The 12,629-nt window shown below is 33.4% G+C and overlaps 1 long non-coding RNA gene across 1 annotated transcript, besides 2 other annotated features; it reads left to right on the forward strand.

The window, feature by feature from the left end:
* Nucleotides 1-2,492: 2,492 nt before the first annotated feature.
* Nucleotides 2,493-12,363, forward strand: LINC02032 (long intergenic non-protein coding RNA 2032). The gene is made up of 2 exons (NR_134937.1): nucleotides 2,493-2,591; nucleotides 12,072-12,363. It is a non-coding gene; the product is annotated as a long intergenic non-protein coding RNA 2032 (long non-coding RNA).
* Nucleotides 7,562-8,716: an enhancer, noted in NCBI's record as "VISTA enhancer hs654". NCBI's record gives its function as "enhancer in: midbrain (mesencephalon)[12/15] | forebrain[12/15]" and the evidence as "EXISTENCE:transgenic organism evidence [ECO:0001131][PMID:17130149]".
* Nucleotides 8,904-10,133: an enhancer, noted in NCBI's record as "VISTA enhancer hs1203". NCBI's record gives its function as "enhancer in: neural tube[5/7] | hindbrain (rhombencephalon)[5/7]" and the evidence as "EXISTENCE:transgenic organism evidence [ECO:0001131][PMID:17130149]".
* Nucleotides 12,364-12,629: the final 266 nt, after the last annotated feature.

Here is a 12,629-nt window from a genome sequence, read left to right on the forward strand (position 1 = left end):
ACTTAATCTCTCTAACACTGTGACAGATGACATTTAGATGTCCTTGTTACCCTTAAAATGAGTTTTATTGACAATCAGAGAACAAAAAGAAGGCCCAGATAAAGCCCAATGTTTTATAGGCTTGCTAACAACATCTTAGTCCAGAGGGTGAGGAGAAAGCCTGAAGTTGCCCCCATTTTCCCCTGCTTTGCTATATCACCATGACAACAGATATAGAAATCACTTAGTGACTCCTAGAAAGAAAACACAGTGACACAGTACCCCTTGTATGGCGAATCAAACTAAAGCCTTCATTCAAATGGCTATTCAGCTTGGGCATTCATGTAGAGGATAGGGTGGATTTTACACAGGTAACTACAAGAGAAAGGCCAGCAAGCCCTCCAGCCACAGCATATGGCAAAGTCTCTGTCTAATTAATGCATCCTCAATAGAATTTATCCATTTTAAATTTGTTTTCTTTTACTTGAAACATCATTAATGTAAAGGGCAACATTAATCAACATCATGGAACTTAAAAGGGCATTAAAGAGTGATCTTTTTCCCTATGCAACAAGAATCTTTTCAAGTAGTTGTGTTAACTGCAGCAGATTCAAGGCACATTCTGAGTTTGTAATCAGAAGGCAAATCTAGAGAGGCCTCTACTGGCGAATCTGTCTCTGTGCAGTTGTCCTTGCGGAACTGCCCTGGAAAAACAAGCAGGAGAATGACTTTCGGCTTTTTTTTATTGGAAAGTTGCACACCAGATGGATGACCAATGAATATACTGTATAAAACATTGAATAATGGCATTCACACTTTTGAAGCTGTCATATCTAACTGCTTATTCTCAGGTAATAAAAGGACCCTCAAGCTCTGATGTATGAGCTGCTTGGACTCAAAGAGATGTTTTAAGATTATTCAACAAAGAAATAACAGGTAATCTTTTTTTTCTTTGTACATAACGCTCCCATTCAAGTTTAAGATTTAAAACTATTTTGATATGAAATTGTATTTCTTGACATTGTTTGTTGGGGAGGCACACTGTTCACACACATATCCATATATCTCCCACAACCAACTAAAAACTGAAATAAAATCTTTAGATGAAACTAAAGTGCCCATGAAATATTTTGATTAATCAAAAAGCGAAAGTTTACTGCTAAGATTTCCTAGGAAATGTGAACAAAATATAGTCCCCTCAAGTGATATTTAACCTGAAAATATCATTGCACTATATTTTCATGAAATTAGGCTGAAAATAGCTTCACTGCTTTGTGAAGTCACTTTTGGGGGAAAAAAAGTAAAGATTTAATTTTTCCACGAGAAGTTGAAAGTTATTTAATATTTCCTAGGATGAAGATACTTATGATGTCTCTATATAAGGAAGCTCAGGGACTTTTCTCTTTGAAAAAAGAAAACCTGACTCCATAAATGTCTTTGTTCAAGTGTGGAATATTATGGTAACACTACATGCAATCTTGAAACTTTTCAAAAGGCAAAACCCTAATCCTCTTGTTTTACAACATTTTTATATCCAATATTTTTGAAATCTGATCATACCGAAATACTATTCAAATTACATTTATTCTCTTATATCTTTCAAAAATTCCATGAGTTATTTTTTGCTGTAATATCTGATATCTCAGGGTCCCTTGCCAGCATATTGTTAGTAGGGTCATTTCACATTTCAAATGTGTATTTCAAATGTTTAGTTGAGATTTTGAGATAAATTTGACCAAGTAACTTTTCACAGGGTGGTTTGGTTAGCATGGCTCAGTAAATTACCTTTGGATCATACAGGTAATTCTTGATCTTAAAATTAAATTCTGTTAGATGGCTTGAGATCACTACCTTTTAGTCCCAGTAGTGACACCTACTGGTAAAAAGAGAACAAAAAATAGTTTTAGCTTTCTTTCTGCTGTTTTAGAGAATCTTAACCAGGGACTCTGTTGTTAATAAATGTACCTTATTTACGATTTGTTTTCAGGTCTTTAAAATACAACTCTACATTACCAAAAACTAATTAGTGAGGGGGAAAACCCAAACAGAATAATGCAGGTATTTAATAAGGAAAAAGAAAAAAAACTTACTAGCAGAGGAGTATAGTAAAACTTAACACCAAATAGTGTAGAGAATATGTAATTACAATCTTTTGAGTTTTTATATATTGTAGAAAATGAGAAGCCAAGCTTTAGCAATAGTTTTTCTGAAAATGCCACATTTCCCAGTTAGAACTGGAAGATGAAAAGGTCAAAATGCTGTAAAAAAATTACTTAACATTTTTTTGTTTCCACAAATGTTTATTAAATGTTCTATATTTAAGAAAGAGCAAAGTCAATCCAGGAAAAAAAGAAGAATATATGCTTGATAGCAACCCAATTGTCAATAATCTTTGAGGATTTATGCTAATTTAACCAGAAATGCTCTTTCAGAACACGGATTTATCACATGTCATAGAACATTGAAGTCACATTAGAATGTGGTTAATTTCTCCACTGAGCTAGAAGCACATGGTTTGCAGAACATTGGCTACAGTAAGAACATACTCTGCATCAGAGAGGGTTCAACATTAACAACGTCTGTAAAAACAGAATCACAGCTGTCAAGAAGAGGTATGATCTTTATTTCTCCTAGAAGCTTCAGTGAAGCTCCTCTTTAAATTACATTTGCTCTTAATTTATAATATTATGACACTACACATTCCAGTTTTTCATAAAGCACATGAAGTCTTATTTAATAAGAAACTGTTTTAGATAATTATCTGAAGACCCATATAAAACTTGTATAGTCTTTTTTTGACTGCTAAGTAATTCACTTGTTAAACTATAAAACACAGCATCAATAATTTTAGAATTTTACAGTCATATGAGATAAAAATGGCAGACTGGAAAGAAATACATTTCAACCCAGGTTTAATTGGAATGAGCCTTTTTATCAAAATGCTCCTAATATTTCTTTTAGGAAACTCTAGGTCTTTGTTAATATTTCAGCTTACAAAGAAAATACAGCTATCAGTATCCCAAAATATTGTTTTGCCTTGGGGATTGTGGTCAGGTATATAGTAAGGCAGAGAATCATTTAATCCATGATACACACTTGTGACTACTTTTGTGATATCACTGAAAGGAAATGTGTGAAAATGTCACAAATTACTCAGCAGACAGTTAGCTATATTGGTGTCTTTGAAACCATGTTTGGCTCTGCTGTGTGCTTTTGTTTGTACAACTTGAGCACATGCTTCAAAATGTCATCCAAATTACAAGCATGCAAGGAATGAAGTATTACTTCTCTATCAATTTCAGAAGCATACTACTTTTATTTCATTAAATAGCTTATCAGCCAATCACACTTGGTAAAATCATGAAATTCCTTTCTTACATTTTTTGCAGGAGATATTCTATGTTGTTATTTATGATCTAAAATAAATCTTCAAATTTGTTTATGATGGTAAATATGGGAAAACAAAGGACTTTTAAAAATCATGTAAATTACAACATAAAAATCTGAAAGCACAACATTTATACAAAATCATTTGGCCAACTTGCTGGCAATTAAGTTGGGATACAATGTGCTCAGGGTGAAAACAAGATCAGAAATTAAAACAAAGTAGCCAGAAAAAATTGGAAAAGTTTTGGTTTTGGTTTTGGTTTTGGTTTTCCTGAGTACCTGGACCTGCAATTCAGCTGATCATTAAACACAACCAGAAAGAAAGGCTCTATTTTGCCTTTAGAGAGTTCATCCAGAGACTGCACAAGGGATTTGTACAGAATAAAGCCTCACAAAACCCAAGGGCTGTCAGAGGGAAATGGTATCCAGGAGGACAGGGCAGGCCAAGCATCCTCTCAACAGCAAAGCCACACAAGAGAGCCAGAGGCAGCACTGCGACTGCCAACACAACTGCCTATTACGTCTGCCAAGGAGCCAGAAGCCGCTTGTGGGAAAATATCACTTACCCTTAGCATCTGGGTCCTGTGATTGTTATCCAAAGAGACAGAGTGGTAAGATATAGTGGGATAAACAGCATCCCATTAAACACACACGTACACACACGTACACACACACACACACACACACACACACACATACACGTTATCTTTCTGGGTAAAGAGAGAGATAAGCCATACATGGATTTGGATTAGACTTTCTGTAGTTGGAATTCTTTTAAATCAGATTTATTCTATATATTCATATTTAGTTACATATTCAGTTATATACTCATATTTCATAATGAGATTGGCTTTAGTAATTACTTCTCACTAATAGTTTTGGTCGGTAAAAAACAAGATTTTAGTTGTATTTGTGGCTATTTGATGTGCATAGTCCACTATGAAATTTTTATTTTCTTGGAGTAATTGGTTATAGCTGGCTGATAGGATTATTCAAAAATTAAATATTGATTATGAATAAACTAAAACAAGCTATGCTTTGATGTTAAACTTTTTTTCTTTTTCTTTTCTGGTGTTGTGTCACTATTTTTAAGAGGCCAACTTCCAAAATATATACTCATAAAATAACTGATAAATTCTTATTAAACATGTGCTATACTATAAGCATGTGATATATATATATCATTATATAATAGATATAACTATGACATATATAACGTTACTTATGTATAGTATATTATATATATTTCAGTTTGATAAAGTCCCTTCTAAAATATACACTTTCAATTTACATCTGAATGAATCTTCTTGAAGTTTCCAAATGTGGCAATCTGATTGTATATATTCACTCTGCACCAAAAAATGAGGATGAAGGGGAGGGAAAATCTAGAGAATTACAGATTGGAGACACCTTGTGGTTAATGTAAAGGTTTTAATTCATTCTTATGTAGAGAATTTGAAGATCATTATTACTGCAGAAAGTAATAGCCTTCTGTTTTTGAGTCTTCAGTAAAAGGGTAAGAAAAGTAGTTTTCATTTTAAATATTCTGCTCTGATACCAAGAACAGAAAGTAATGCAGTTTTAAGTGTCAACAGCAATATAATGTACCCAAAGAGAAATTGTTTTATATTTTATTTTATAATGTCAATTCTATTGTACAGTTTAATGGAGAGCATTTGGAATAACAATCCCATTTATGTACACAGTGGATTTATTATTAAAACTCATGCTTTGCAGGAATAAAATTAAAATTTCAGTGGCATTTAGTGAGTAAAAAAATGTGTATTTCAAGGTCATAAAATCTATTATATTGGTGCAAAAGTAATTGCACTTTTTGCCATTACTTTTAATTGCCAAAATCGCAATTACTTTTGCACCAACCTAATAGTTGCTTATTTGTGCATGTTATGTGAGATAAGGCATATGGAGCAGTATATGCCATAATATGCATAATAACATGCACTTGATTACTTATAAACATGTTTCGCATGTGCATAAAATATATTACACGGACGTTTAATTTTTTAATTTATATAAATAGCAAAGTAACTTAGGTATGTTTATCATCGAATGCCAACATGAATACAATGTTCAAAAGAGATAAAAATTTTGTGGAAGTGCAAAACCACATGGTAAACAATTGATATGTTTTTGTTTATTTTTCTTGTTTGTCATTACCACACACACAAAGAAATTTGATTCTAATTGATAACCTTTTGACGAATAGATTATTTTCTGATACCAAATAATTCTCAAATTGATTCAAATTTAGTTCCATTTTTACAGCATTTTTATGTAAACTAGATAATAATGATGAAAAGTGTTTCTTTTATATTGCTTCTCTATGTAATGGTGGAAGAGCCTGTGAATTCAATTCAATGAGGCTCAATTATGGGAATGAGGAAGAAGATAAGGGAATAAATAGATTCTAAACATTTTATTTCATTTAAAAATTTAAAATGCTCAATTGAAATGTGAAATATTTCTCCAATATTTATAAATACATAAATAACTTATGAATATGTGCAAAAAATCAATAAGAATTTATGAAAAGTTTTTGGGCTATGTGTTGTTTCATTTCCCACAAGGGAAACTAACAGCCCCAGAAAGATGTGAATAAAATCAGAACTACTTTCTCTAGGCCATTTAAATGATTACACTCTAAAACTAGAACCTGAAATGCAAATGTTTAATTTTATGACCAAACTACTTTTACATATTTGTTGCATTTGTTATATCTTTTCCTTGAAGCTCTTGTTTATTTCCTTATCTAGTTGCCTTTTTCCCATTTCATTTCTAATCCCGAAGGTTTGCAGTTTCAATTTTCATTATTTTATTATATTTATACCATGCCTTTAATCTTTAATAGTTTTTTTTTAAGTTTAGTTGGTTTATTAACCCACAAGTTTAATTAGGTATTCTGTAACACCACAAAATGTAGGCCTAGGATATACTATTATATACAAAAGCATTTCATGTAAGTCAGTGTATTAAGACTGTTAAATTTCAACTTATTATAATTACACATGGCAGAACCATTTAACCCTTTATGATCTTTACATATTAAATTGTGAAAAAAGAAACCGTACTCATTTATTAAAGCCAACAAGGTTTACAGCCTTAACTAAATGTTACATAGTCATGAGTCCCAGAGATTTATTTTTTCCATAAGATAGCAACTGAAGTTACAGAGGACAAGTTATCCTCTCATTCTCTGTGTTAATCCTGTGTTCTTTACAACTGTCCAAATTGTATAAGAATTTGCTTATAATGATGTTATATGATGTCCTTGTGATACCTGCATTTCTGGAGAACTTAATATTGATTTACTGTGTCTTTTGCCCATCTTTGAGCAGCCTAGATAGCAATTACAGCTGTTGGTGGTATCTATTTTGTCTTTTCATAATTGTCATTTCATGTTCTACTTAAGATTAAAATATGAAAATTGTACCACGTGCACATCAACAGTGCATTAACCAAGTTATCAGCGATATCTGTGAAACACTATGATTTAACCATGGTTCTTTACATTGCTCCTTCATTTTATTTACGAAAATTGCATGCTACAATATAAACTTGAACAAGAAATACATTCAAAGGTGAGCCTCCCTGACATCAAGTCCTCATCAGGATCATTACTATCTTCCTAAGAAATCCATGGGACTTTCCCAGTACCTGCTTGCCTCTGCCAAATGCTTTCTCCCCTTCAGACTGGGATTTCAGATAAGCAGGGGCTGCTTTGTTTTTCTTCAGCTCTTACTTTAAAAGAGCCTTCACAGTTTTTGAGCTTTCTCTACTATTCTAATTTCAATCCACATTTCACATAGAATATGGAATTTTATACAAGGAAAATCGTGTTTAAAAGTTATACAGCAGATTTGAAATTTCTTATTTATTACAAATAGGTCTACCAGGTATAGATTTCTTCAAAGCACTGTTAAGAGCTGTACCAAAATTGAAAACTGTCTTATTTGAAGACGAAATACACTTAATGTGGGGCACAGAGACAGAAGGAGATGACATTGCCTGGGCTCCTCTCATTAGGAAGTGTATCACACAGAAGCTGTAAAATAATTTTAAAATTTTAAGAGGAGAAATTATTTTGCAACTAATTTGGAATTTTTTTTCCTGGTCAATTTATATAAAACATGCAGTTGAAATCACTAAAACACATTATGATTCTATCTTGACTTAACAAGTTTGAACTGCTCAAGAAAGATTTTTTTGTGTTGCACAGTGAAAATAAATATTAAATATCAAGATGAAACTGAATATTTGAATACCCTCCCAAGCACATTCCCCCATACACACACACACACACACACACACACACACACACACACACACACAAATACACATATACTTTCCTACCAGCAGACTAAATCCAGCTAGTTCCTGAAAGGCGTTTATTTTGAGAATCACTATTGTTTTATTTTACTACATTTGTTTGGAGACTTTTTAAAAATGACTATATGCAAAGAAATAGCAACTGCATCTGCAATCTCTAGCAGCAGCCCTTCCTTACGAGACTGTGTAGGGCATTTGTGGGTGTTGTTATTGTTGTTGTTGCAATCTAGCTAATAAAGGCTTTCTCTTACACAAGAGAATTTTGACAGGGTTGACTCCAGACAGCTTTCCAGCTGAGGTCTGGGGCCTTGCTGAACTTTCAAAATTTTCCCATTTGAGCTGCATCAAAGTGAAGGAAATTCAAGGATCACTAACGTCTCAGATGGTAGCACTTGCCCTAACAACGAAGGTTCAGGAATTCTTTGGAGCAGGCTGAGGTCATTTTTCTCCCCTTTTCTCCTAATGCTTTTCTCTATTAATCAGAGCTCAGAGCTCAGATTGGTCTTCAACTTCCTCCCAATCCTTGCTAAGCCTGTCATTTCTAGCTATTATTTACTTTAATGGACTTTGGCTGATCCCTTATGAAGCTTTGGATCTGAGAATAATAAGGCTGGAGAGCAACGGGCATAGACATGGGTGTGGGTTTGCCTGCAGATTAACCGTGGCAGATGGGCTTTATTGCGGTTTCCTGTGTACTGAGCGTTGATTGAGAGGGTATAATGAGAGAGGTGGTGTCTACACAATGGTCACAGCCACTTCATTGCACTTTGCGTCTAAACAACCCCATTTTTCTAAATCTTTGGGTTGTGAAATTTTAGGAAGTCAGAGCACAAGAACAAGTACAAAAACAACTGTAAATAACCATGAATGTTAATCCAACACTAATTGGTCCCTTCTTTCAGTATGAGTCCATTTTGCTCAGTTTTTAAAATTCTGGGTAAATTAATGGCAAAGATAGTTAAAATGTTCTTGCATTAGGTGGTTTTGGATGAAATAGTGAGCAACATGCATTTTCTGTGTATGTGTTTTTTGAGTTTTTGGTTTGTTTGTTTAGTTAAATATATGCTATATTTGATTATTGCCACAGACAACAAATGCTTAAGCTGTAATTATTTCTATGCTTTGGGAGTTATGTTGGAGATACATTTTGAGGTAAATTATCAACTAGAGAATATTTTTAAAAATAACATCAGGGCAATTGTTTTCTTTCTGGCTTAGTAAAGAAAAATGTACTTTTCTTTATTTCTTGCATTTGATGCAAGTTTCTGCTCAGTTGCAACTCGCTATGCAATTAAAACATTTTTGTCACGGGTGCTATCTAAAGTTATTTTACATATTCTTAATTTTTAAGATTTTACTTAATTCCTCCTTTTCATCAATGGATTAAATCACAACTATTGATTCTTTTCTTCTTTTGGGGCTTTACCCATCTGTCTTAATGCTTTCATCCTACACCCCTTGGTCTCAGAGGGGTGTTCTGAAAGTGAACCGCCAAAACCTGGAGAAGACTCTAGGTCAAGTTTGTGTACAAGAGTTTAAATTTTTAGTGACAGTCCTCTCTCACGGCCGCCTGAAAGTTTCCACACAGAACTGCACAAGCGAGCACCACCAATTATCCTCCTCCTTTGAAAACCATTATCAAGTTTTTCAAAACTTCTTTCATTTCACTGTTGTCAGTCAGTGAAAAGGAAACTAACCACCATGTCAAGACAACTCAGCTGCCTAGCAACGCAGGGCCACATTTTAATTCTGACTTGCTTCTGGTCTTGACTAATAGAAAGTGACTATGTTAAGCCAGTCACAAGAGTTGTTTGTCACTTCTGAAATGCAAACAAAACTATATTGTTTTCCAAAGTATTGGGTGTGATTGATGTAAAGATTTACAGTAACATCATTCATTTTCTCTTGTGTTTTAGTAGGATTGATGTCATATCTTTTCATGCTTTATTAAATACTTTAAAAGAGCTCAAAAAACATGACGCTTTTTGTCCTTTAAAGAGTCTAAAGAGGGGTTTTTCTTTCCAGTGAACTAGGCTCTAACAACTTGTGAAATTTAATGAATCTATTCAACTAGTGTCAGTCACATCAATAAATAATTTAATAAGAAACCACCATCCGTGAAGGAGAATGCAATTTAAACAATCAGAGAGAAACAGACCAGACCAAGGTCAACATTATGGGGTGGGGGGAGGAAAAATTGAGCTTTTAAGTCATGAGTCTTAGAGTTTGGTTTATCAGATTTTCCCACAGCCCTGTATTCTTGCTTTTGGTAATAAAAGCTGCAAGTTTCTACTAGTGCAATTCCAATGTTAAATCTTTTCAGGCATAATGTGGAGATATATATAGCAAAAGCACAGTTTTTACATCCCCTAAATTCATATAAAATGGTTATTCAAATTGAGAAATTGTATCTGCGCTTGAATGTACTTCTGCTCCAGTTGACTGGGAGCCAATTAATAACGTGTAAGGTATCCACTATTTTAAATATTCCCTAAAATTGCTGATATGTCTAGTATTTTATATAAAAATATAGTGAAACTTCATTTAGTAGGAATGTGCCAATTTATATGATTTATATATATGTAAATGAGAAAACGGTAATGTTCTCCTCCAAAAGAATGTAAGATCTGAGTAGTAAAGAGAAATTACAAGCATTAATTATAATTTTCTTGTGATACAATATTCTAAGCAGTAACTCAATAATCATTTAACAAAATGTTTATTAAAAATTATAGCTTAAAAAGGTCAGAATGATAATAAAAATAAGCTGGGTGTCACCATCACGGAAAGGCAGTAGAAAGTTTTTTCTTTCAATTCTGAAAATAATTCAGAATTAAGAGATTGTCTGTTTTCTTAAAACATTACTCATATTCTAAATTGGGATCTAATGATTAAGTAGGACAGAAAAGAGATAGTTTAAAACTTGTTAAAACATAATAAATATATGTTTTAAGATGAATAACAAGCATTGCATATGAAGAAGAATGATTGATGTTAAGGAAAAGAGATTATTTTATCTTGAAATGAATAGAAATCTTAAAGAGCTTTAAAAGACTTAATTCATTAGCTATATTTTGTCTAATTAGCCTATATCAACACTGAATATAAACTCAAAGAATATGATTTTTATTCAAAACAGAAGTGGTTTAGGTTCCATTTAAGATTTTTTTTGAAATTATTACATTCTGGTAGCACTGTGATGTATTGAAATATGTCTAGCTTTGGATGTCAAATCTGGGATTGGGACCCATTTGCCCTGTCAAACAAGGGCAAATTATTACCATCCTGGAGCGTCACTTTTTTCACCTATGAATGAGGATAAGAACATGTTCTTCATGGGCTATTGGGGTGATGAGAATATCTGGCTCATCAAAGGACTCAATATAAGTATAGGTAGTAATAGGAATGGTAGAACATGTTGCTTAAACACTCACATTCACAAACTAAGCTGCCTTGGTACTAGCTGTGTGACCTTGAGCAAATGGCTTCCACTTTTTGGATCATCAGTAACTTCATCTGTAAAATGAGGCCAATAATAGTACCTATATCTTAAGGTAAGTGTAGATGTTAACCAATTTATGCCAAAATATTGCATATAAAGAAATTTAAAAGCACTTACTCATAATTGCAGGTGATCAAATAACCAATGCTAGTGTTCATATTATAATTATGCTTGTGTTAATGTTATTTTTCTCAGATGTTAAAAATAAATAATTTAGCTCCTCCCATTTTTTTTTAATGATAAACCAAAATTAAAGGCTTTGTTTCCAGATTGGTAAGTAGACTTAACTACCAAAGTCCATTCCATAACAGAAGAAATGGAAAGATATAAGTAAGCTTTTAAAATATGGATTATTTTATCTGAATTAGTTTTTAACCAGATATTGTCTTGAAATATAATGGAGCATTACTGTAGCATGTCTTGGCAAAACTTAAGATTTTCCAGCTCTACATCAAAGGTGCTTTGTCAACTAAGTCTAATTATTTTATAAAGTCAATTATTATGTGGTACCAGTAATTATTATGTGGTACCAAGAGACAATAGTAGGCACAAAATCTGAAAGCTTGAAGCCCAGTCTTAGTTTTCTCAGAATTTCCAGTAGAAGCACATATTTATGAGCTGAAAGCAGCCTATGGACATGTTTTGTTTGTGCTACACAGAGTTTTAAATTATGATTATTGAATTGACAACTTCTGAACTTTAGATTTTCCATTAAAATCCAGATTCCTAGGTGCTCTTTAAAAATCAGAAAGATGGCAAGAGTGAAACTGCTGTAGCAGTGTTGGGTAGCGGCTGAGTTGCTGTGGGTTTTTTTTTTTTATGAGGTCTGAATTCTCTACTTCATCTTTGTCAACAGTGCTTTCTCCATGTACTGTGAAACACATCCATCTGGATCCACCTATTTAAGCTACATGCCTAGCCTCCAGAGTCATCCAGACTTTTAGCATAAGAACTCAAATGAGAAATCATGAAGAATGCATTAACTGAATCCAATATCACCTACAGGACCCTGGGCCCATTGCACTTTGTAATTGTATTACTTTTCTTCTGGTTATCTTCATAGGATCTTAGGTATACTCTCTCTGAAAAGTGTTAAAGACAACTTCTCCCTGGGCCTGAGAATAAATTATCTTTTTCCTATCGCTGTATATTTTTGTTTGTTTGTCTCGTTTTTTTGTTTTTTGTTTTTTCCTGGCTGGATAGGGAAGTGATCAAGCCACAAGTGAGGAGCTGCAGTGGCCCATGAACAATACATAGGTCCATCTCCTGGAACTTGTGACCACTCGCCCAGGATCGCACTCATGGCCACAACAAAGATGATGGCTTTTCTGTTTCTCCGGCTGCACCACATCAGACACCTGTGGCAAATATTGAGGCAACACTATGTGAAGTCTGACTAGTGACTCTTAGAGAC

This window comes from Homo sapiens, chromosome 3 (assembly GCF_000001405.40).
Source record: "Homo sapiens chromosome 3, GRCh38.p14 Primary Assembly".
In the NCBI taxonomy this organism is placed as follows: Eukaryota; Metazoa; Chordata; class Mammalia; order Primates; family Hominidae; genus Homo; species Homo sapiens.